Source organism: Homo sapiens, chromosome 8 (assembly GCF_000001405.40).
Source record: "Homo sapiens chromosome 8, GRCh38.p14 Primary Assembly".
In the NCBI taxonomy this organism is placed as follows: Eukaryota; Metazoa; Chordata; class Mammalia; order Primates; family Hominidae; genus Homo; species Homo sapiens.
This window is the reverse complement of record NC_000008.11, coordinates 14388676-14415985: the sequence shown is the minus strand read 5'-3', so window position 1 is coordinate 14415985 and position 27310 is coordinate 14388676. Positions and strand designations below refer to the sequence as shown.

Genomic DNA, 27310 nt, shown 5'->3' with positions numbered 1-27310 from the left:
CATACAATAAATAAGCATGTTTCCATTATTATAGAGAAATTATTATAATAATTAGGTTTTCTTATATTAAAGGAGGTCAGAAAAAGATGAAGTTTTGTTAACCAGTGCAGTTCCAAGTCTTTTAGCCACACTGGCCAAGTTATGTGTATTCAATGCACTGATCATCTGTAATATGTAGTGTGAGCCAATTTCATGCACACTTTCGTTGCTGTCACAAATTTGAGGTGGTGCATCTGAGTCTTTTGAACTTTCAAGATATGTTCTCAACTGTTATTCCAAGGAAATATCTAAACGAACAAAATACAGCTTTAATAAATTCACTTTTTTCTTAAGGAGTTATTTAAAAGTGTTAAGCGTAGATCTGATTCAAAGGAACTAAAATCCTGTGAAAGATGTCAACTGTCTCACTTACTGTAATGTTCTTGTTTAGTAGAACAATATGATTTCCATGATGACAGAATAAAGCATTCTGACTTAACGCTTTATTTCATCTCTGATATTTTCAGGACCTATGGCAATTTGTCTTTTTATTAAAATATGCATTCATCATTCACACTAATTCCCTTTTTGTAGGAGCATTAACTCATTGGCTCAAGCTTATTTCTGTGTCTTTTCTTCATATAATTTTTACAGTGAGAAAAAGTATAATACATTTGCATTTATTTCTGAAAGCACTCATATTCTGTTGTGATAAACAATTTTTGTATTAATTTGGATAATCCATTATGCAATTTTGGAACTTATATGATTGAAAACATGTATTTATATTTAAATGAATCATGAACACTTGTGAAGCATTATTTAATGTTCTGTTTTTCATTAATATCAAAGGACCCAATGAATCAAGGGGTATTTCTTTGAAAGTCACTGAAATTACAGAACAGTTTTACTTCAGGGGATTGTAAAAACACTCTCCCATTAATAAAAAAAGATATAAGTAGCAGGATAATTTTGTAAAATCTTCGAGCACCTCATTAAGCACAATTTTCCAAAATATTATTAAATGAACTAAGAAATGAATAAAAGTGATTTTCTTGAAGTGCCTTCCTAATTTTAAGTATCTAATCAGCATTTCTAGCAACAATAATTTCAAAGTAGGTTACCACTCACATTAAAACTTCCAATTTTGAATTTATGATCACAATTTCATGGTGTTTAATAATTGTTATTAAATGTTTCAAATACTAACATATGGCTTTATTTACCTGTCTCTTCATGTCCTAATTAGAAGCCATTTTTCCCATTTCCAAAAAGAGCCTTAAGGTATCACATGCTTGAATCATGATTGGCCAAGCTTATTGTTATGCTATTATGATAGATTAATTACATTTTGTGCTTGTGGCTATAGCATTGGTTGGAGGTGACATATCACACATTTTCTCAGCTATCCTTAAACTAAGTTATTTTTAAATTCCATGACTTGTTAATACTTTTGAAGAGGTTTATAAGTTTAATTGAATGTTGGTCTTTTAATTTGCCTAAATTTATCTCAAGCAGGTTCCAAACATAACATTTAAAATACCTCAGACCCATCCTGAGATTTACATAATCAACATTTCTGAGGGTGGGGACCTAGGAATTTTACTTGTACTCTCCAGGGAGTTCCTATGCACACTCAATTTAAGAAACACTAATTCAAGAGCATGAGGACCATAGTGTCATACGTATATAGTATATCTAAATTAAGTAACGTCTAGATAAACAACTGATAATGAATTAGGAATATAAAACCAATTTTTGCTTTAAAAGATGTCTCTCTCTAGCGTGTGCGTGTCTGTATGTGTGTGTGTGTGCGCGAGTGTGTGCGTTCATTTCTGTGTTAGGCTATTTTTTGCCTTTTGTTTTTCTAATCTCTTAAATTCATGTGCAAGTCACATTATATAGCTAAGACTGCTAAATTTATCTGATGTTAAAACTAACGTGGATCTCAACTGTTGTGAAAGGTATAAATTCAAATAATGTTATTTATTTTCATGGGGTATCTTGAGAAACAGTCTCGATTAATAATCTAAAGAACAATAGGAGAAGGAACCAGTCTTGCAGAAAAGTAAATGATGAGTTTATTTAACACCCTTTTATTGTAAACTTACAGAGTTCTAGATGACTGGATATATCAGAGAACAAATCAAAGAAAGATTCTGTTCTCCTAGGATTTATGTTCTATCTAAACCATATATGTATGAATGGGTTTGTAAAACAGACTCTTCGTTAGAATGTGGGTGTGTTTTTATAGGATGACAGATGACAAGCAAGCATAGACAAAGAAGATGCAATTTTAGTGCTCTCAAAAAAGGAAATAGGCAAAGAGGTAAAATGTGCTTTATTTTTAAAATGTTGAGCATTTTCAAGACAGTGAAATCTAAGATATAAACATTATCAGCATATATTTCAAAAACTACTTAAGTTGTAATATAATGACCTCTAGAGATGGAACAAGTTTTAATATGTAATCCTGAAACATCCATTTAGCTTGTATAAGATTATTGCACTCAGCAGGATCCATTAGGACAATCCACTTACGACAGAAATCTTAAAAGAGGAAAGAACTCTTTCCTTGCAAAGATAGAAGAAAGAGAATAAAGCAACAAAAAAATTGAACTTATTGGGCAGAGAACTACATATAAATAGCTTAAAAAGTAAGGATATCATTGAGGTATGAAAGGTGAGCTAATATTGCTGACACAACGTGTGTTCTGAACTTCCTGAGAATAACCTGTACCCTTTGTCGATTGAATAATTACAACATTACCTAAGAGATTGTCGAAGTAATATCATGAAAGTATATTTTTGTCTTACTGTGTTGCTCTAGTTGGTGTTACTATCTCACGCTACCTTATGATTTACAGAAAAGATATTGATAAGAAGTTTAAACTTAATGATGCGAACTTGGTCAATTTTTTTAATGCATTGATCTTTATGCAAAGCATAACAATTCTTAAAATTTTTGTCTTAAAATTTTGGAGCAAAATCTAACTGTTGTCCTTTATAACAAAAGTTTAATATACAAATTATGAATGCTAGCTATTTGTTATGATTTTACTTTTCTGACATAATACACCTATTTAAATGCTACTTGAATAGATAATAATTCATACCAGACAAATATTTATTATTTGCATCCATATCTATCAAGTTTCAGAATGTCAAATACTCTTCAAGTTCAACTATTTTAATTAAAGTTATGCCATCCTTATAGTTGCTGCTATTTTGATACCTTGTCACGTGCGCATTATTAGTGAGCTTTTTAATATGCATATTGTGCATATTGAATACATTAGCCCTTGTGAGAGATTTCCACCATGGTTGGTTGTAATTCCTTATTGAAATGAATAGCACAAGAAAATGAGGCAGATTAAAAGGTTAGGTTACTCATTAAGATGTTCGCTGTTGTGTAGTTCCTTAAAGTTAATGCAGAGTATGTGTTTTTACCTGATGACTAGATGAATTATTTAAACAGAACAGCTGCAAAAGGCAAGGCCTGGCAGCATTTATGCTGAGATTATCTATTTTAATTGGAAATGCAATTCATTTGAATATTTCACCACATAATTCCATTCATATGAACTAGACATTCAAATGTACGCATACCCAGTGATCTAAAGGGAAACACATAATTATAATAGTTGCTGTAGATTGGATGCAAACTATGTGTCACAGTCTACTAAATGCTTTACACATATTTTCTGTAACCCTTATAAAAATACCTTAGGGTCTAAAATATTGTTTGATTTTTTCCAAAAGAGGAAACTGAGGCTTCTTTTCTCAATATCATAGAGTTAAGGTTTGCATTCCGGTCTGTGAGACTAAAGCCCATAGTTATCTTTACATTACTATTTCTCATTGTCAATTAGAATTTTGTAATACCATATGACACATACTGTTCTTTTCTGCAAATCAATCTTTGAATGGCAATTTTGAGGTCAACACTGGCTTTATGGGAAGGATGGTCATATTGTTGTGAACAAAGAAGATGCACGCCCTTGCATTTAAGAAGAGAGCAGTGTATTTTTACTCAGTATACTCTTCCCAGCTGTTTACCTCTTTCCTGTCAGCCTCCTTCAGCATTTCTTCAGAGGTCATGTAAGATTGAAATACTTGTTAATTCTCCTTCCGTTCCATCAAATAGAAATGTTTGGAAGTGTTTTTTACTGTACTGGAAAAAGAGCACATTTTTAAGTGTCATGAATTCAATGAAACATGTCAGTGAGTTTTATTGATGACTAATATTGAATGTCTTTATATATAATCATGGAAATACAGAATACTAATATTATAATAGTATTTACACATGAAACAAATATTTAATGAGGTTTAAATTATATGCTAGACATTTTATTAGGTGGTGGGTATATGATGCTCTAAAGTAATAAATATGGCTCATACCCTCAGAAAGCCTAGAGGTTTGGGGAGGTACTTTGGAAGTATATATTTCTCTATGTCAGCTTGAACTTTATATGCTGTAGGCAGCAAGTGAAGTATCACATTCTCAATCTTCCCTCGGTAATGTCATTATAAACTTGATATTGGTTTCAGCATAATTAGGCATTTTGTGTAATGAACCAAGATTTTTCTAAATTGAAGTAGGCATGACCTTAAGAATTTCCATAAGTAACAGAACACTAATATGTTTTATATATCTGATGACTAAAAACAATGGTTTCTATACGAATGTTTATGTAAAAACTTTTACGTTTTTTGTTTTTGTTAAGAGCACAAATAGAATGACTTAGAGTCTCTTCATACTATGTAAGAGTTGTAGGGCTGTTTCTAAGGAGAGAACATGCTTATGGTCTTATAAATATTATTAATGAAAATTATTTCTAATTTGAAAACTTAATCTCAATAATAGCAGAAACAAAACGCATTGGTTGGCGCCATAATGATATTTTAATTTCATAGTAGAGTTGTTTACTATCTAAATGTTCTTTAGCTTTTTAAAATATTTCTATCTGGAATTGTAATTGTTTCAAAGAGCACAAGAACTTTCTGAATCTTGTTTTTAAAATTGCTATTGAAATTTTTTTAAAAGAAAAAACGTTGAAGAAAATTTATCACCATTGTTTAGTTTAAACTAACAAACTAAACATTTCTGCTTTTTAAACTTTTCCCTCAGATAGCAGTGTTCCATTTGAAAAGAAGAGTGGTTGAAATGAAAGCTTAATTACACTCTTAGAACTCCTATTTTTGTTCGTTTCATTGGTTTTTGTATATTTTACTTTAAGTTCTAGGATACATGTGCAAAACGTGCAGGTTTATTACACAGGCATACATGTGCCATGGGGGTTTGCTGCAGCTATCAACCCATCATCTAGGTTTTAAGGCCTGCATGCCTTAGGTATTTGTAGTAATGCTCTCCCTCCCCTTGTCCACCACCCCACGACAGGCCCCAGTATGTGATGTTCCCCTCCCTGTGTCCATGTGTAGAACTTCTGTTTTTTTTTTTTTATATTAACTTAGAATTACACAGCATTTCACATTACAGTCCAAAAATAGAATTCCATCCTTCTGTGAATTTTGAAATAGAACACTTCTACTTGGAGATCCATTTGGGTCATTGAAAATCAGCCTTTTCTGTTTTTTTTTTTCTTAAATTATTGAACAAAGTAAGTTACTTTTACCTTTTGGAGTTTTCAAACTTACATACTCAGAATGCTCAGAATGTGGATATTAAGACCAGTGTCTTATAATTCAGCAGTCCCCAACTTTTTGGCATCAGGGATGGGTTTTGTGGAAGACAGTTTTCCACAGGCAGAAGGAAAGGGAGGAGGGAAATGGTTTCGGGATAAATGTTCCACCTCAGATCATCAGGAATTTGTTAGATTATCATAAGGAGCACACAATCTAGATCCCTAGCATGCGCAGTTCACAATGAGTTTTGCATTCCTTTAAGAATCTAACGCCACCCCTGGTCTTACTGGAGGCGGAGCTCAGACGGTAATGCTGGCTGGTTACTTCCTGCTATGTGGCTAGGTTCCTAACAGGCCATGGAGGGTTACTGGTCCGTGGCCTGGGAGTTGGGGACCCCTGTTCTAATAAACTCATTGATTTTAAGGGAAAGCTAATTTTCAAAGACATTTTTACCTCCCATATATTGTGTCATATTTATTATGTGTATAAATAACTGTTCATATTTGTAAATGAAATTGTTTCCAAATTGTTTATATTAGGAAAGCAATATTTTCAAACTGGTAATCTACTTTCCAAGTATGTGTTGCTATATATGTATATCAGTAGATTTTATTTATTTAAGACTACAAGAGGGATTGAATGAATGTTCTCAACAAGTAAACGTTATTTCACAAATATGGTGGTTAGCGTTAGCTATTTTTGCTGACATGTAATAGCAGGAGTGTCTCAAATAATCATTTTATTAATATAATTAATGCAAATTTTGGATCTTGCATCTTTGTACAGAGTAAAAGACAACTCTCCCTGTCTTTAATTCCCATAAGTTCTTATGAGGCAGCCATGTAAAACATATTTTAAAAGTGAATATTCTGATTTTTTTTTCAAATTCTGAGCCAGCATTACCAAACGCTGAGTGTCTAAGCTGACCAAAATAGAGGATATTGAAATATTTACTTAATGATACGATCAATATTTACCTCCAAACTACATTTTTTAAGTTTTTTAAATCTCATTTTTGGATCCTCAGGTTGAGGGAGAATAAGAGGCCCCCTCCTATACATACATGTGAAAATCTTCAGGAGAAAGTATAATTTGAGAGTCACTGTCTAAAGGCCTTGTAATATACATGCTCATATTAATTTTCTAGTATAAGTAAATGCTTAATAAATAACGTGTTGGTTATATAAATGAGTGACTAATTGATTTTTGCCACCATATCTCTGTAATAATCAGTTCAACAACTTAAATAATCCTACACTTACTGAGAACTTAGCATTTGCTAACACTGGGATCTGTGTCGTGTATCAAAACTGAAATGATCCTGGAACTGAAAACCTAGTTAATGAGGCCAAAAACAAAATACACACACACACACACGCACACATGCACACACACACACACACACTCTCTTAATTTAAAAATGTGTTAGCTTTTATGAAGTAATAAAAATATATATTCATAAAAGAGAATAAAAAGAATTTGAAGTAAAATTCAGAGAAGGTCTCAATCATGAGCTAACATTTAACCTGAAACCAGGAAAGTATTAGCCAACTGAATACAAACAAAAATTATGAATACCCTAAATTCTATGTAGGGATTTAGAAAATTCAGGATAATAAAAGAGTACAGAAGCCTGATAAATAAGATGCCATGCAGGACTAGATGAGGGGAAAGTGGCAGGTGAGATAACTCACAGCCTGGGACCATCCAAATGCAATGAAATGTTGCTGCAGAATATTATACAGGGGTGTGATATAAACTGATTTATATAGAAACAGTCATCTAGCCACTGTGGAAAAGAATTGCGACCTAAATTTGGAAGTGTGGGAACCAGAAGATGTGTGCAGTTCAGGGGAGAGACGGTGGCCACCTGGGTAAATGGAGGGCAGGGGAATGGAGCGTATTAGGACTGATGATCTATTTCATGATTTATTGGATATTAGGGGTGGGACGAGAGGAGGAAATAAGTGTAGAAAACTCCCAGGGGTCCAGATGGTGCTTTCTAGGACGTTGGGACATATCTGGAGATGGCTGTTTTTGTTTGAGTAGATTCTGTGGTCATAAAATGGATTAAACAAACAGTCTGGACAGGTGATTCTGCAAAGACCAAAACTGCAAATACAGCAGTTCCCTTTGGTGCCCTATATCGTGATGATTTCCTTTTAACAGTTTCCTTCTTTCCATAATGTCTAAAAACATCATAATTTTTCTTTTAATTTCTACTACTCTGCCCTACACATGCTATTGAAGTAAAAGAGGTAGTTAGAGAATGTGAAAAGGAAGTGAATTCCCATTAATTCAAATCAATCCCTAAAATGAAATATCTATTTCCTTCCCCCTTATTTATACATATCATTAGTCTATCATTAAATAACTATCTCTCCGTATGATATATACTTTGACACATTCATCTGAGACAAAAATAAGTGAAAAGCAAAAACGTGAGACTCAAGAGGTTCCTTTTCTCCTGACAGCCAGCATTCAATCACTTCTTTCAAGTGTATTTAGGAGGTTTAGGAGCTACTTTGGAAAGAATGAATAAGGTCATCATTTGAAAGTCTCTGCTTGACCTAGGGAAATACATGCATAGGAAAAAATGCACCAGCTGAAACTTTTTGAAATGATCTTTTCACAACAAATGGGAATCTTCTCATTCATATTGACAGCCTTTCTCAGTTCTTAACAAGAAAACAATATTTTATCAACCTATTTAGCAGGATTAGCATACAACAGTTATGAATTATATTTTTATATCATATACCTATATTGTAATATAGTGGTGGAATGCCTCTTTGATTTATATTTATCATCTAATGTTATTTAATTTTTTTACAATTAAAACAGATGTCATATAATAGGTAGGATTATGAAACTACTTATAGGGAGACCTTTGTCCTGATCCTGAATCCACCACCCAACACATAGGTGGATGATGTTTAGCAACCACCTTAAAATTTTCTGAAACTCAGTGTTCTTATCTGTATAATATGATACACAATATTTTAAAAGTGTAGTTTTTAGCTGTGGCATACAGTTAAGAAACCTTGGATCGCTTGAGGTCAAGAGTTCGTGACCAGCCTGGCCAGCATGGTGAAACCCTGTCTCTACTAAAAATATAAAAATTAGCTGGGCATGGTGGCACACACCTGTAATCCCAGCTACTCAGGAGGCTGAGGCAGGAGAATAGCTTGAACCCAGGAGGTGGAAGTTGCAGTGTACCCAGATGGCACCACTGCACTCCAGCCTGGTGACAGAGTGAGTCTCCATCTCAAAAAAAAAAAAAAAAAAAAAAGGAAAACTCATAACTTATAGAATTTGTCTTATTTATATTCATATTGATGCAGGACAGGCAGGCTCCAAAATCAAGGCTTAGTCCTAGAGGGTTCTTGGCTTCACCCGTGAAAGAATTCTAAAGCGAGCCAGTGATGTTAAATAGCAAATTGTATTGAAGTAGCAGTATACAGCAGCAGCTCCTTGCGAAAGGAGGCTACCCTATACGCAGTTTTCACAGAACTGCATCTCAGAATCAGTGCTGCACTCATATTTATACCCACTTTTAATTATTTTCAAATTAAAGGGTGGCGTATGCAAAAATTTCTGGAATGAGAGTGGTAACTTCCTGTTTGTCATGTTGTTGCGTAGAAAGGGGCAGTAATTTTCAGGGATTGCCCTGGCAATGGTAAACTGACATGGCATGTGTCTAATGGGGAGGCGCTTCTGCCCTGTACTTGTTTTTGCTAGTCCTCAATTTGATCTAGTGCCCGAGCCCCACCTGGGCAGTAGAGTTCCACCTCTTAGCTCAATGTGATGCCAAATCACAGGTTACATTCATTCAACAATGTTTGTTTTCAGTGCCCACTATATTCCAGCTACGATTTAAGCATCTGGCTCCCCAGCAATGAACAAGAGAAATGATATTCCCCTTCTCACGAAATTTACATCCTAGAAGCAGAAAATAATTTAAAACATAAAAATTTCTGATAAAAAATTTCAGCCATCTGTGAGATGGAGAGAAAATGAACAAGAAAATTTGATAAGAAAGTGAATAGAGTGGGGCATGATGGGGATTCAATTCAGATTGACTGACTAAGGGAGCCTCTGTGAGATGAGAACTGAGCCCGACATCGGAAGATGGAACCAGTCTTGCAAAGACATACAGGTGGAGGGAAGTGCAGAAATTAAGGCAAAGCCTTCTCTGCAGAAAGCATAAGCTTGATATGTTCAAAAAGCACAGAAGATGGGAAACTGTAGTTTACTTAAGCAAGCAGTAGGGTTGTAGGAGATGAGATCATGCATATATTTGATGGGTTATTTGCTGTGATTTAACAACAGCTGTTCATGAATAGCTGAATGTATTTGGCTACTTGTATTTACATGAATGTAAATAAATATGACAAAGGTAAACTAACTAGGGTGCTCATTGCATATTTGCTTGCACCTCCATTTAAAAATACCTGCTCAGCTCCCACTAAAGAGAAAAACCTTTTTGAAACACAAATGACTAAGATATTATTCTAATGATAATGCCGAAATGTTCTAATGTATTTATAAACAACTAATTTGCCAACTTTAATACTTAACCATTTTAAGTGAAAAATTATATGACATACATCACAGCTGTGTAGTACAATATAATTTGAAATCACAGGCTTGAAAATTAGTAATTTTAAGGCTTTGATATGGTCACAAAACACAGAATCTCAAAGCAGAATTATTTCAACATTTCCATCACATTTAATTCTGTACTTCATCTGTTTTTGAAATGCAAAAATCAGCCACAACATAGGCAAGCATAATTCTTGGCATAAGGCTATATTAAATGCAAATTGGTCTGCCTACCATATTTGATATCCTGTGAAAGAGAGTATATTATTTAAATAACCGATGATGTGCACATTGAGGTATAATAAAAACAGTTCAGAAGTAAAAAAATAATCTGATGTCATTATATTTTCTGAGTGCATTTTAGTTTAAATCTTAATGGAATGTGTGTGAGAAAAAATAATAGTGGGGAAGATACATAAAGTAATCATTGTTACCATCATAGCTTTAAATAGCAAAATAACATATAAAGCTTAACTATCCCATTAAACTACATTTTATTTGTTGCCTTCCAGTCATAAAAATGAATCTATGTCATATATTTCAACGGAGGTGATTTAACACGGGGAACTCATTACAGAGGAGTAATGTTAGAAGGTGATAAGGCAATTCAAAGTGAACACTCACAGTCAGCCCTTACCAAATTTGAGTCTGGGGAGAAGGAAAGTAGTTAGCAGGGTCACAGTTCAGGAGCAAGGGCCACATGGAGGAAGACGACAGCTGAGGGTTTGGCAGCTGCCTCACCAGGCTGGATGTGCAATCACGAAGGACAGGCCACCTGGCCAGATCTGCAACCCGGAGGATTTAAAGCCACTGCCGGCAATAGCCACAGGGAACGAAAGAAGAGACAGCAAATAGATCGACTCTCCCACTCCTCTTGCTCCCAGTCTCACTTGAGTGCCTCCTATTGGCCAGAACTAACTGGAAACGCGTGGGCTTTGAAGCCTAGACGATGTAATTTGCAGGTTTCAGCACCTTGAGATAAGAGCAGAGCAAAAACCAGACACAGATCTGAGAGCAAACAGGAACATGACAGGCCTGTATGTCAGTTACAGAGACATAACTGCAGCTTTGGAGAAAGAACTGGTCTAAGAATCTTGACTTCCTTTTATAATTAAAGTCAAATGCCCTTATTAATTCCCAGTGTCACCCAATCAGGTAGATTCTTTCTGATTGTTAAAGAAAAATAACGCAACATCTAATTTGAAATGACAACCTGAAGTCTGAATTTCCTCACCTAATTTAAAATTCTAAATGTCATTTTAATCATTTAGTATTATTTCAAAGTGTGAAAAGATTATCTGAATTCTCTTACTTTCTCCCCTGCCTCTTTGAATGCTCAAAAATTCCCAAACACTCTGAATACAGTCTCCTTTAAAGAGGACATGTTGCATTTACACTAAGAATTGTGTTTCATAAAAATGGACATTCATGGCATTTATTAAGTAATTTATTTGGCATAATATAATCCTTAAAGATTTTCTAGCACAGTTTTAAAATGAACACTGGCAAAGTTTTATGTGATTAAAAAAACAAATTGCACTTGACAAATGTATATAGATACAATTACAGCTTAGTCTAAGTATGTGATTGTTATGAGAGTAAAATTTAAAATGGAGCTGAAGATAATGCATCTCCACCTCTGGCACCCTCCTTCTCTAATCTCATATTGTCTATTCTCTCTTTTCGTGATACTCAGGTAAGATACATGATTTGTTGGCCCCCCTCCTCCATCTTCTCTCTTTCCTTGTTTCTCTGGGCTTTATACATGGTTTCTATTTAGGAGCTGAAATACTCATTTCTCTTCCTTCAAATTACCATAAAAATATTTCTCCCAGTTGAAACCTAGACTTTCTTGTCTATGACTGATTATTTTAAAGCTCTGAGAAATAAAAAATATATAGTTAACAGCCTTAACAGAGTTTTATCTCCAGTTACCACAGCATTTAAACATACATTTTATATAAATATTGCATGTATATTTTTTCTTAAACTTCAGTAAGGCACAGACCTATGGAAGAAAAAAGACAGAAATTGTTCTTTTGAACCCCCAGAAGTATAATACTGTGAGAAATACTGACTTATGAAAATAAGTTTTTTGATGAACACTAAAATAAATAAATTGTGATTGATGCAAGGCTGGTTCAATATACGCGAATCAATAAATGTAATCCAGCATATAAACAGAGCCAAAGACAAAAACCACATGGTTATCTCAATAGATGCAGAAAAGGCCTTTGACAAAATTCAACAACCTTCATGCTAAAAACTCTCAATAAATTAGGTATTGATGGGATGTATTTCAAAATAATAAGAGCTATCTATGACAAACCCACAGCCAATATCATACTGAATGGGCAAAAACTGGAAGCATTCCCTTTGAAAAGTGGCACAAGACAGGGATGCCCTCTCTCACCACTCCTATTCAAGATAGTGTTGGAAGTTCTGGCCCAGGCAGTGAGGCAGGAGAAGGAAATAAAGGGTATTCAATTAGGAAAAGAGGAAGTCAAATTGTCCCTGTTTGCAGACGACATGATTGTATATCTAGAAAACCCCATCGTCTCAGCCCAAAATCTCCTTAAGCTGATAAGCAACTTCAGCAAAGTCTCGGGATACAAAATCAATGTACAAAAATCACAAGCATTCTTATACACCAACAGCAGACAAACAGAGAGCCAAATCATGAGTGAACTCCCATTCACAATTGCTTCAAAGAGAAGAAAATACCTAGGAATCCAACTTACAAGGGATGTGAAGGACCTCTTCAAGGAGAACTACAAACCACTGCTCAAGGAAATAAAAGAGGATAAAAACAAATGGAAGAACATTCCATGCTCATGGGTAGGAAGAATCAATATCGTGAAAATGGCCATACTGCCCAAGGTGATTTACAGATTCAATGCCATCCCCATCAAGCTACCAATGCCTTTCTTCACAGAATTGGAAAAAACTACTTTAAAGTTCATATGGAGCCAAAAAAGAGCCCGCATGGCCAAGTCAATCCTAAGCCAAAAGAACAAAGCTGGAGGCATCACACTACCTGACTTCAAACTATACTACAAGGCTATAGTAACCAAAACACCGTGGTACTGGTACCAAAACAGAGATATAGATCAATGGAACAGAACAGAGCCCTCAGAAATAACGCCACATATCTACAACTATCTGATCTTTGACAAACCTGAGAAAAGCAAGCAATGGGGAAAGGATTCCCTATTTAATAAATGGTGCTGGGAAAACTGGCTAGCCATAGGTAGAAAGCTGAAACTGGATCCCTTCCTTACACCTTATACAAAAATCAATTCAAGATGGATTAAAGACTTAAACGTTCGACCTAAAACCATAAAAATCCTAGAAGAAAACCTAGGCATTACCATTCAGGACATAGGCATGGGCAAGGACTTCATGTCTAAAACACCAAAAGCAATGGCAACAAAAGACAAAATTGACAAATGGGATCTAATTAAACTCAAGAGCTTCTGCACAGCAAAAGAAACTACCATCAGAGTGAACAGGCAACCTACAAAATGGGAGAAAATTTTCGCAACCTACTCATCTGACAAAGGGCTAATATCCAGAATCTACAATGAACTCAGTCAAATTTACAAGAAGAAAACAAACAACCCCATCAAAAAGTGGGCAAAGGACATGAACAGACACTTCTCAAAAGAAGACATTTATGCAGCCTAAAAACACATGAGAAAATGCTCATCATCCATGGCCATCAGAGAAATGCAAATCAAAACCACAATGAGATACCATCCCACACCAGTTAGAATGGCAATCATTAAAAAGTCAGGAAACAACAGGTGCTGGAGAGGTTGTGGAGAAATAGGAACACTTTTACACTGTTGGTGGGACTGTAAACTAGTTCAACCATTGTGGAAGTCAGTGTGGCGATTCCTCAGGGATCTAGAACTAGAAATACCATTTGACCCAGCCATCCCATTACTGGGTATATACCCAAAGGACTATAAATCATGCTGCTATGAAGATACATGCACACGTATGTTTATTGCGGCATTATTCACATTAGCAAAGACTTGGAACCAACCCAAATGTCCAACAATGATAGACTGGATCAAGAAAATGTGGCACATATACACCATGGAATACTATGCAGCCATAAACAATGATGAGTTCATGTCCTTTGTAGGGACATGGATGAAATTGGAAATCATCATTCTCAGTAAACTATCGCAAGAACAAAAAACCAAACACCGCATATTCTCACTCACAGGTGGGAACTGAACAATGAGATCACGTGGACACAGGAAGGGGAACATCACACTCTGAGGACTGTTGTGGGGTGGGGGGAGGGGGGAGGGATAGCTTTAGGAGATATACCTAATGCTAGATGACGAGTTATTGGGTGTAGCACACCAGCATGGCACATGTATACATATGTAACTAACCTGCACAATGTGCACATGTACCCTAAAACTTAAAGTATAATAATTAAAGAAAAAAAAATAAATAAAAATAAAACTATATATATGTATGTATATTTGAGTTAAGTATTGATTATGACCTATGTGTTTTATTGATATGCATAATGCAAAGAAAGGTAAGAAATTGTACATGCTGTTGCATTAGTTTGGACAAGATTAATCTAGCAAAGTTGCCTGTTACAAGTGTAAATGGAGCTGTATCTTGCACAGTGTGGACTGCTTTCCTTCCATTAATTACACAGGGAGGTCAGCGTACAGGGTGAAACTGGCCTGCTTATAGTGAATTGTTGGTTTCCAAACCATGTTCCACTGATTGTTAGGACTTCACATATTATGGTTTGATTTTCATTGTTTGAAACATATTTAACAAAACAAGACAGAAACACAACCACAACACTTATTCAGTTACATAAATTAATTTAAACTCTTTGGAGATCCACAAGCAAATTAACTTGTGCTGCCATGCTAATTAATTGTTGAGTACTCTATGGATTCAATTCTTTTTTATATGTGTGCATATATTTTACTTTTCTGTAAAAAAAAATACTATTGATTACAAAGTCTTAGCTTTGCACTTTTAAAAACACAGACTCAAGAATAGGCCTTTAGAAAAATTGCACAAGATAGTACGATCATAAAATATTTAAGACATGCAAAGTTCATGTATTCAGTATGTGGTCTGGTCACATAATATATTTTTATAAAGCAAAGTAACCTGATAATTTAAAAGATGTTTCTATCTCATTATAGATAATCTTGCTTGGAATAGAATGCCCAGTGGGACCCAACAATTTGACCCTTAGGCATATACCAAAGAGAAATGCAAACATCTATCCACACAAAAAATTATACATACATGCTTATATATGTATTATTCTTTATAGTCAAAAGTGGTAGCAACTTTGTGAATAGCTACAAAGTGGTAAATGTTCTATCTACCAAAGAGAAATGCAAACATATATCCACACAAAATCTTGTTCATGCATGCTTGTATGTGTATTATTCTTAATAGCCAGAAAGTGGTAACAACTAAAATGTCAACTGATGAATGGATAAATAAAATCTGCTATATAAATAATGAAATATTATTTTATAGTAAAAATAAATGAAGTATCAATACACGCTATTAGATGGATGAACACTGGAAACAATAGCCAAGTGAAAGAAGCTACTCACAAAAGATCACCTGTTGTTTGATACTATTTATGCAAAATGTTCAGAATAAGCAAATATATAGAGACATAAAGTAGATTAGCAATTGCCTAGGGCTTATTGGGGGAAGGGAACAGGGGCTTAACGGGGGAGGAAAATGGGAACTGATAGCTAATGAGCACAGGCTTTCTGTGAGTAGTAACCAGGTTGGAGTTTCTAAAATTAGATGTTGATAATTGCCCAATTTTGGAAGTATACTAAACATTAAATTACACTTTAAAGAAGTAAACTTTATAGCATATAAAGTGTAGCTCAATAAGGATGTTAAAAATCAAATTGTAGATTAATATTATCAGCTATTTGTTAGTCCTTTGAAAAGGCTTATTTTAGAAAATGTAAAATACATCAACAGTTATTGAAAAATATTGATTAGGCTCAAAGCATAATATGTTCTGAAGAAGTTTAAAGCAATGAATAAAATATTATCTTCTTTTCAAATATTCATTATACAGTTGAATAAAGGGCACACAATTTTGCATTTGCAAAATACTGAAAAAAACATACTGCAGAATGTCTGTCTAAAGGAAAATGATTCTAATTTCCAGGAAGAAAGACTGGGACTTTTTTTTCTTTAACAAATCATCTGTGAAGCGAGAAAGAACCTATATATCCAGGCATAAATAAATCAAACCATGAGAAAGACATTTTAAAAAACAGAAGTCCAGCCTGTCAAGTGTGATTGAGCATCACTGAATAAATCCATGGCAGGCACTATTGAAGAGCAAGTGGATGCCCAGGCCTGTCAGATTCTACTGGTAAGATGAAAACTGGTAAGAAGTGAAATTGGATTTACTAGTCATCTAAGCAATTATGGTCACAGATTATTTTGTGACAAACAATAAGTATTATACAAAAATCTCAATAAAAAGGACTCCAAGGAACCCTGACACTTAACAGGAAAATAATCTGATGAAAGATACACAACAATATTTTAAATTCTGAAATGCCTTTCTGCTCAGCAAAAACAATGGGAGTGCCACTTTCTTTTCAGCTCTCAAAATAATAATGATCACGTTTGGTTTCTGAACTTAACAGGCCTGAGAGATCTGTAGCTTGGAAAAAGAAATGTTCCCTTTAGGAAAAATTGTTAATAATTTCAAGTAAGGTTATTTCAAGGAACATTTACACTTGTTGAAATTTAAAAAGAAAAGAAAATTGTAACGGAAGAATGCAAGCCCCTTTAAATTATCAGGCCCAAAGAAACACTGGAATGAAACAGCAGCCATGTCTCACTCCCACCTTGAGCTAAATAATCACCTCAAAGCCACCTGCTATGTGAGCTCTAGTCTAACCAACACCAGGTAGCCATAAAACATCAATGCTGGACATTATAACTCAGACTCTGTAGTTTAACAATGCATATCCAATAAATAATGTTATTTCTGTAAATCAGGAAGAATTTCTGACAAGCACCCTTTGTAATTACTTCCTTTTCTGATTCCTCAGTTTTTAAAAAAAATAAAAATCTTGAGCCTTTTCTTTGTTCTCCCAGAGCACTCCCCAAGGCAACTTGGAAGTGTGTCCAGGACAGCTGTCCTCAACCTTACCCCAAATAAACACTCTATATTAATTTTGCCTCAGCTTCTTTATTCAACAAAATAAAGTTCTATAATTGTTGGCCAAAGGCTGGCCACGTTATGAATAAATGGTTATAAGATAGGCCTTTAGTGACAAAAGTGAAAAGAACCTTACGGAGTTCACATCTAGGAGGAAAGGATGCTTGAACAGTGAGAACTATCAGTAATCAGGACACCTTCAAGGTGTATAGCTTTATGTAACTCAAGCAATGTTGCTAAGGAATAGGTCACACTGTTCTCATTTCAAAGCTGAGAAAACTAAGTTTAGAATGCTCGAATAACTCTCCCACCTTCCAAAAGCTAAGAGAAACAGCGGTGTCATTAGCTGAATTCAGGTCTATCAGGCACACAGTGCTCCTGTCCTTCCCTTCCACTCTTTTGTTTTTCCAGACAGGGAAAATCTAGACTACTTGATGTCAATTGAGGGTCACAAAAAGGGTCCCTTGAGTTGATGTCAATTGAGGGTCACAAAAAGGGTCCTTTGAGTTGATGGTCTGAACCATTAACTTAAATAGCATTCTGAGAGGAAGAAAATTCCATCGTTCAAGGGAATTCATCAGAATGTCTAGCTGCCTGTAATCAGAGAGCAGGGCTCAGGGGAGTGAAATGCAGGGCAAGGTTGTCTTGATGAAAGAAGGAAACTTAAGTGTCCATGGCTCTGCTCAGGGTTGACAATCTTAGACGAAGCACCTTGTGGAAGACCTTCGATGTACCCTAAAAGGGGATGAAGATGCTGGTGACAGATGATGAAGGGGAACTCTAGTATGCTTTTGCAATACTGGGAAGATTTCCTCAGATCTCAGATACATTCACCTGCCCTTCATATTGAATCAGGAGAAACTGTGAATGTGTTTTGTAAAGATGAGATTAGGCTCATCGCTGCCTGACTTGGAGAAAGTAATGGTATGCTTTATTTGTGAGAATAAAAAATACTGCTTTACCATGTATTATATGCAATAATATTGCTGGCTTTTGTGTACAGTGGAACAGGGAGTTACTTCCGTCTTTCACATAAAATGTAACTTGGACACTATCACAGCTTGATTTATAATTATTTTATGGTAATGCACAAAATAGAAAAAAAGAAATTATGCCATTAAAGCAATTACTTTAATAATTATTAAATGGTGAATACCTATAAGAAGCATTAATATTTATTTTAATTGGGAAGGAGACCTAATTATAAATTGCCTAAATTTAATTTTCGTGCTTGTTTTTACATCAGAAATACTATATTCGAACATCCTTAACTTTTATCAAATTTACAAAAATTATAAATAGCCTCATCTCATATTTCTAATGTATCTCAATAGAGAATAAGGAATAAACATCTCTCAAGGTGAAGTGAAAAGTCAGTCAGAATTTTGTACCTCCAATTATAGAAAACAGCAAAGCACAAAGAATAGTGGTAAGTACCAGTATTAAAATTTACGTAACGTTGAGAGGAATAGGTAAAATTACTCATTTTAAGATGATAAATTTGAGTCCTGTAAAGTTCAAATAACTTTGCTATAGGAACATTTATTTTCAACAACAATCTTATAAAGGAGAAGTGTAATTTATTCTTAAAGCAATTCAGCACATTTCCATTGGTTAAAACCTAAGCTCCCTGCAATAAGCCAATCTGGTCCTCTGTCTTTTTTTAAATGCACAATAATGCTATTTGATCTCTTAGAGATGTGCCTTAGGGTTGTGACTTAACCTGGGCATAGGAGAAATGACAGCATGACTAGCGTCAACTGAAAGCTCACTATCTCGTAACTCTATTCATCTGAGCTCAAAAATAAGCCCTCAGTAGACCATGAAAATTGCTCTCAGAAAACCCCTGAAGAATTTGAAGGGAGAATTTAATAATCAGTCGTTATATTAGCTACCAGGTTGTCTAGATGCAATATGTGGTAGAATGGGTGGCCTTGTCTATCTTGTCCATTATATCCCTAGCACCGAGACCCTAGTAAAGAGAAAGTTTACATGTTTATGTACTTAATATTGGGTGAATGAATAAATGTGACAGTATTAGGAGGCATAGGGAATGAGCTGAATAACATCACAAAATCCTTCACGCCTAAGTGATCAAATTCTCACCATTTTCCATGAGGATTAGGTATCAGGAATTTCATCTGAACCATTGTTCAGTTATCACTCCCTTTTCCTCAGGGCTTATCAAATATTAGTGGCAATAAGAAGTTAGAACAATAAAGGGAAATATTACAAGAATATACAATTTTTTGGCTCAGAAAATGTGTTCATTTTAAGTCCTTACCTTACACTAAATTGAAAGTATATTGCGTAGGAACTAAAATAAGAAGCAGATATAAGAGTTATTTACTGAGGACTTAAATAATCTTCCCAGTCATATCTAAAGAGTATTAGAATACTGACAAGGTATGAGAACATGAGATGGCAGAGCTAAGTATTGCCAAGAAGAGGGAGCAAATGGTACCCATACCTTGGTCTTACATTTAAAAATGATTTCTTTTGTACGTACCCTCTCTCCGATCATAAACGCACATACAGTGAGGATACATTAGATGTAAATGATGACTTCACTTTAACTCTTAGTTTGATCCTCTTGAAACTGAAATTGTCCTCTGCTACAAAGGCATCAGAATTTATTGAGAAGCGAACAGATACTTTTTGCAGTAACTTTAAGTAGTGATTCCACATGTATTGGAAGCCACTCATTTAGGCATTATGTGCCAGATAACTTTGGGTTGCCCCTGCAGATCGATTTTATATCCTGATACTTGCTCTGAGCTCCTTTGCCATCTGATGTCTGGTTATGTTCATTCAACAAGTAGCCCACCTAGGTTATGTGAGGAAGTTTGGAAAATGGGTCAGGGTATTTTAGAGTATTGATTCCCAGGGTAACTTTTTGTGGGGTCACTTCTGACTGGCTGTATCTTATAATTGAAAATCAATACTCCTTTCAATATTACACCTTCTATCTTTCTTTCTTGTTTAGAGTAGCCGTACCTTCACCTAGTCCATTTGGACCTTTGGACTCTGTTGTTATTAGCCCAAGTGTATTCTGCCATTGCTGATTATATGGGAACCCACCCTTTGTAAAGTGTCCTGTCTTTGCAATAGTCTCTTTTTAAATCCTTCCTGTTAAATATGCTATACTTCCTATGTCATGTTTTTTCTTCTGCTAACTTGACTGATAAACACTGAATTCTATTCTGTTTCAGAATCCTACTCTTTTATTTCTTTATTACCACAATAGTAACTTCTAGTTGAATACATGCATCTGAATTTTCAAGGGCAAAGGCTATGTTTAATATAGAGATTTTTGAATCACCAAGTGGTATTGGAAACATTTTACAGTACATAAAAGAAGTCAGAGATATTATCTAGATGATGAGAGAAAAGCTAAGAACAGAATAATTATAGAGTATTTACTGAGCACATTCTATGTTCCTTAGAGTTTTAAGTACTTTGCCTATTTAATTTGATTTAATCTTCAGAATTGTCTGAGGTAGATATTATCACTACATCAGTTTTACAATTTAGGAAACAAAGTTCCCAAGTGATTAAGGAACGTGTCCATGTCACCATCTAGTAAGTAATGGAAATCTAGATACAAATCCAAGTAGTCAGACAATTGTGTTCTTGATATCTGCACAATATCACCCATGCACTGACATAATGCTTGGAAGCATGAATGGTTCCAACATTTTCCAACAGGCAACTTAGACACAATATGTTCATTATTTAGCCTTTTTTTACCTTCATGATTTTTTGTCAATTAGTACTTCCACCCAATCGCTGAAAATACAATCCTGATTCTTTCTTTATTTCCAATTATTTCCACTTTATCTTTACTACCACAGTGGTAGTTTAGGCCTTTGTCATTTCATTTCACCCACGGATTACTGTCTATGACAGGATCAGCAGTTAACATGAATTTGCTGAATGAATGCATGAATGAGAATGCTAGAAAAGGCTCGTAAAACCAACCATGATCTCAGGAATCAAACTTTGTCTCAAGATGTACATGTGTCATCATTAAAAAGTGTTTCTTAGATGTCAGTATGCATTTTGAGGCTGTAGAAGGTAGGGAAGTGGGCTGGGCACGGTGGCTCATGCCTGTAATCCCAGCACTTTGAAAGGCCGAGGCGGGTGGATCACGAGGTCAGGAGATCGAGACCATCCTGGCCAACATGGTGAAACCCAGTCTCTGTTAGAAACACAAAAATTAGCTGGGTGTGGTGGCGCATGCCTGTAGTCCCAGCTACTCAGGAGGCTGAGGCAGGAGAATCACTTAAACCTGGGAGGCAGAGGTTGCAGTGAGCCGAGATCATGCCACTGCACTCCAGCCTGGGCAACAGAGTGAGACTAAATCTCAAAAAAAAAAAAAAAAAAAAAAAAAGGTGGGGGGCGGTAGGGCAGTGCATGAAGTAGTTCAGGACACAGCAGTAGTCATTTGTATGCTACATCTGTTTTCCTGCGAACATAAAATGTTTTAAATAAAACTCATCATTTAAGGATATATTAACAGTTACTTTCAAGAAAAGGTGCTTCTTTAAAGTACACATATCAAAGCACAAAGCTGAGAAATGAATATATATTTTAAAATATGGTCAGAAATTTGAAAGCTAATTTATGGAAAGGTGGCAATAGAAAATTCTCTCCCAAGATGCTGCGCTTTGTAGAATGTTCAGAGTTCATTAGAATCTGTAAGTCAATGCATTTATTGAGCACAGGGATTATTTGCTTTTGTTTATAAATATAGGATATTGAAGCGGCTGGGTTGTCTAGGGTGTATACCCTGGGGTTTGTTGTCACATGTCAGGAAAATTTAGAACATGGGCACAGGAGGAATTGAGCAACAGAGGTTTAATAAGCAGAAGAGAGGAGAAAGAGAAACAGCTTTCTCTATGGAGAAAAAGGTCTCTCAGTGGAAAGGACCAGCTGATGGTGAATGCACCGAAATTTCTATGCTAGTTTGAGGAGGCAGTGTCTGATTTACATAGGGCTCACAGGTTGGTTAGATCAAGTTTGACATTTACATAGTGAGTGGGGAAGGTTGGTCGCCCCACCGTAATCTTATTATGTAAATTGGCTTTCCAGTTGATCAGCGCCATTTTGTCTGCTCTTTATAGTACATGTGGTTGACAAGGGAAGATGGAGTCGCCATCTTGAACATGTCTAGTCCTAGTTCCTGCTGGCATTCATCTGTGTAAGCTCCCAGCCTGCTTGTCTATGTCTGCAGCTGGACTTCACAGGCTGCTTTTTGTTAGAAAATGATTGGGGCTGGTTTTCATTAAAGAGAAAAGCCTTACTGAGGACTCCCATATATTTACTATCTGCCAAAGTGATTTCTTCTTAACTCTTATATCAATATCGCACTACTTTATCCTTTATACGTATCAGACAAGCATATTGGACTTCAGAAAACATAGATATATTTTTTAAAGGATAATTCATAGGCACTTCTTTATACGTGCCTTTCATATGGCTCCCACAGAAATCACTACCTGGAATAATTACTGAGGGTATTACCAGTACAGTTTGAGTTCTATCTCCTGAAAATTATAAAAATTAATTAAGTACAAAGTGTAATAAAAAGTAAGCTAACAGTTTTCTATTTAAAAGGGTAAAAATATAAACTCTAACTTTATTTTAATATTTTATTAGAACATAAAGATAACAAATACAAACTACAGCTCATGTGCAAATCTCACTTAGAATTTGATATTTTCAAGTTAAAAGTCTTAAATATGCATGTATTAGCCAAAGAAAAATTAATGATAAATATGCATATTATTAAATCACATATAGTTTTATTATAATTTGCTAAGTCCAAAAATAATTGTTCTGTTTTTATATGGATATAGTATTCATTTATTCATGTATTTCAAGTAACCATAGTTTATCTGCCTATGTTATAAAATGAATAAAAATAGACCTGGTACCAGTGTGCAAAGCAGGACTGTTCTAAGGTGTATGTACATGGACCCCTATATCTGAAATGAATATAGTACAATCTGCTTTGTTATCTCTGGGCATTCCAATTTTCCACATCAGCAAATACCGTATTTCTACTCTTGTCTTAATTTGGCAATAACCAGCCTTAAACTCATTCATATCATTTTGATTACCATGGGCTCCTCAGTTCAGTGATGATTAAAACTAGCTATGCTATCTAGAGAATCTTACTAAATTTGAGAATCAATTTTTCATACCATCTAAAAGCTAGAAGGCCACCTATTTTAGTTTAGCTACAATATGAGAAAAAATTTCAGCAGTAAACTTTGAGTAGAAAATTGGTTCTAATATGAGAAAATAGAATGAAGTGTGAGTAAAGAGAACAAGCTATGCATTAAAGTGTAGCTATTATTGAATTAAAATAACTGATAATTTTTTTTGTGATTTATCTGAAATATTATATTTAAGAGATTAAATAAAGACAGAAACCTGGGGATCATTTAAGCTTTCTCCATCTCCCCTTGCTATAGTTTGGATCTGTGTCCATACTCAAATCTCATGTCACATTGTAATCCCCATTGCTGGAGATGGGGCTTGTTGGGAGGTTATGAGAGCATGGGTGTGAATCTCCCCGTTTGTACTGTCCTTGCAATAGTGAATTTTCTAAAGAGGATGTGGCAGGAGCAGGACATGGCAGGAGCATTTAAACAACTTAAAAACAACCAGTTGCAAAGCTCCACCATTGAAAGCTTCCTGAAACCTCCCCAGAAGCTGCTATGCTTCCTGTACAACCTGAAGAAATGTGAGCCAATTAAATTGCTTTTCTTTATAAATTACCCAGTCTTGTGTATTTCTTTATAGTAATATTAGAACAAACTAAAACACTCCCGTTCGTCACTATATCCCTAAATCCAAGCGATCACATAATAATGTTTTCTCTGCCTTTTAATGCATTAATTCATACCCATCTATGCAATACTGGGCTGATTTCCTAACTGGTGCCTTGTCCAATAATATGGCTTCTCCTCTAGCCACACTTCCTACTTCTGCCCCTGAACATAGTACTCCCTGCCTGAAAAATATCAGTAGTCCTTATGGGCCGGAATACAAAATCTGGGTTACAACATTAATCTTTTTTGATACATATGGAATCTCTTAGTATATAGGTATACAACATAGACCAAAGTCTTAACAATGACTTTATCTTTATGCATGAATTTTTTCTTTGTTTCTTTGTTCTTATTGTTTATATGTGTAATAATTGTATACAACTTTTATAAGAAGGAAAAAAAAATCCAAGTTAAAGAAGTTTTAACTGTCAGAAGACTGAACCTATTTGGGAATAAATGTTTTCATTGATGATGACAGAAGATCATTTTGTTTGGCCAGTCTTACTTTTTCCATTCTCAAACCTGGCATTACATCAATCCATTTTCAGATCACCCCTAGAGCCTTAATTAAGGACATATGTAATTGGGTTGGTTGCTTTAGCCCTAGAGACTTACTATGGAGTTGTGTTTGAGATAGGAGTCACTTAATGTTATGTTTTATTTAGTTTTCTGAATCTGGAAGTAGGTCAGAAGTTTATTTTATTTGCTATGCTTTTTCATTGGATATCCCCCCAACCTATTCTTCCTTCTTAAATGAACGTGTAAACTTTATTTCTCTGATTTCTCATGAGTGGTGTCAAAGTTGGACATTTTACTATTTTAAAAATACTTTTAAAATATTTAAAGTTAATCAATATCTCTATAATCTTCTAGAAAAATATACACGCTTTAGAATATTGCTCACCAGATATTTTGCTAATATACTGCCAATGAAATTGTGAAAAATTATGCATACTTAGAATATTATTAAGTCAGCATCTAAATATTTTCATATAATTTAAATAACTTCAAAAGGTGCACTTTGTGTCAACCTAAAATGACTGCAATCTTATTTTATATGTATATAGTAAAATCTACATGCCATACTGTTTCAATGCTTACCATGATCTATTGTTTTTAAAAAAATTTTAAATCAGAATTTTTCAGTGTTTCTTTTATTTGAACTTTCATGTAAATTTCATGTTCCTTATGGAATTTATCCTCTGTGTTTAAAAGTCTTTTATTTATCTACATATATATGCAAATTTAATTTTTAAATTACTAATATTTGTCACCATTAGTGCTCTAAACATGATTTTTTCTTATGAACTGATTTATTATTACAATTATTAGAACACAGTTGATTAAAGCAATGTAAATATAGTACGTATTTTAATATGAAATTATTAAACAAAATAATATTTTATTAGAAACAAATTTTAATGAGAACATGTTATTGCCCTTTCTATATGCCATGTATCCAAGGATGATTATTACTTATTGCTAGAATAAAATAAAAATCAGCATCAATTTTATTAATATGATTTGCTTTTATGGCTACAAATTCTATGTCCTAAATAAATAGATGTCCTGGGAATGGAATTTTTATTTAATGGCAATAAAATTCATAGTCTATTTATCATCAAAGTTATTTTAAAGTTCTACAAACGGATAACTCATTTTGTTTTTTTCTTCAGTCTTGCAGGAAGAAAATAACTGTAAACCCCTACTTACAAAAATCCCCCGTCTTCGTTTCTCAATACTCACACCGTTTTTAACTTGTCATTTACTTCATACTGTGAGAAGTTCTGATACCCTTGGTCAGTGCTTTACAATTAGTTTCATATGGCTTTAGGCAGATCAATTTTGAGAAAACTAAGACACTAGACAACAATAACAAACACATTCTCAAATATTAGTCATAGTTATTTTTTTTAAATTGAAAAATACTTGCTCAGTTTTAGCCAGATGTTTGCTCTTTGCGAGTTTCTTCATTCTCATTTCCTCTTGCCGCTTAACACTTCTTGGGCATATTTTTCTTCTTACTAAAACATATTCTTAAGTACTAATTTTCTACAAGAGTCTATAAAGACAAATTCTCTAAGCTTTTGTCTAAGACGATCTTTATTTTTCACCCTGATTAGAGTTTCAGGTTTGATACATTCCGTTGTTTTAGGCATTACAAAAGTCTTTTGTTTGTGATTATCATGACTTTTGTTAGCCTATTTTTTTTTTTTTTCCTGTCAGGTTAGTTTGTGATTTTCTCTTTGTCTTTCATGTTTAGCAGTTTCAGCATGATGTCTACTTTCAGTATGCTTATATTATTTTCTACTTTGAACATGATTTACTTTTTTAATCTGAGTACTTATATTTTTCTTTATTTCTGAAAAATTCTTACATGTTATTGATAAAATATTACTTTTCTTCTATTTTCTCCTACACTCTTACTGGAAACTTTTCAAATTATACTCTCAGTCGTTTTGCCTTTTCATTTATATTAATATGTCTCTATATCTCTGTACTACATTGTCAGTGATTTCTCCAAGTATATTGTCCGGTATTCTAATACTCACCTCAACAGTATTTAATCTGCCACATAGCTGATCCACTGAGTTTTCTTCTATGAATGAATCTATTTTTCATATCTAAAAATTAAAATTGGTGGTTTTGAATGTCTCCTACTTTATATCTCATAGTGTCTTTTATTTATATTATGCTTTTTTCTTGTCTGTGAAATAGATTTTAAAAGATATTTATTGTACAATGTTATTCAGATAATTTTAAAGTATTTTATTTGAGGTATCTTTAATGCTAATTCCTTTGTTTTTCAAATAACCTCAATCTCTTTCACAGTGCTTCATTTTCTTTTTTTTTTTCTTTTTTATTAATTTTTGAGCTTTTATTTTAAGTTCAGGAGTACATATGCAGGTTTTTTACATAGTAAACTTGCATCATGGAGGTTTGTTGTACAGACTGTTACATCATTAATAACTCCATCATTGCTTGTTCATCTTCAAGGATTTGCCACCCATTCTTTGAC

General features: G+C 34.4%; 1 protein-coding gene across 4 annotated transcripts in view, besides 1 other annotated feature; it reads left to right on the top strand.

Moving 5' to 3' along the window:
- SGCZ (sarcoglycan zeta) overlaps positions 1 to 27310 on the top strand; it is a 1153587-nt gene that overhangs the window by 822446 nt on the left and 303831 nt on the right. The window lies entirely within an intron of this gene.
- Positions 20020 to 20189: an enhancer, noted in NCBI's record as "experimental_102145 CRE fragment used in MPRA reporter constructs". NCBI's record gives its function as "activates a minimal promoter by MPRAs in K562 erythroleukemia cells, with activity observed for both the introgressed and non-introgressed 8:14253391 variant alleles {active_cell/tissue: K562}" and the evidence as "EXISTENCE:reporter gene assay evidence [ECO:0000049][PMID:34662402]".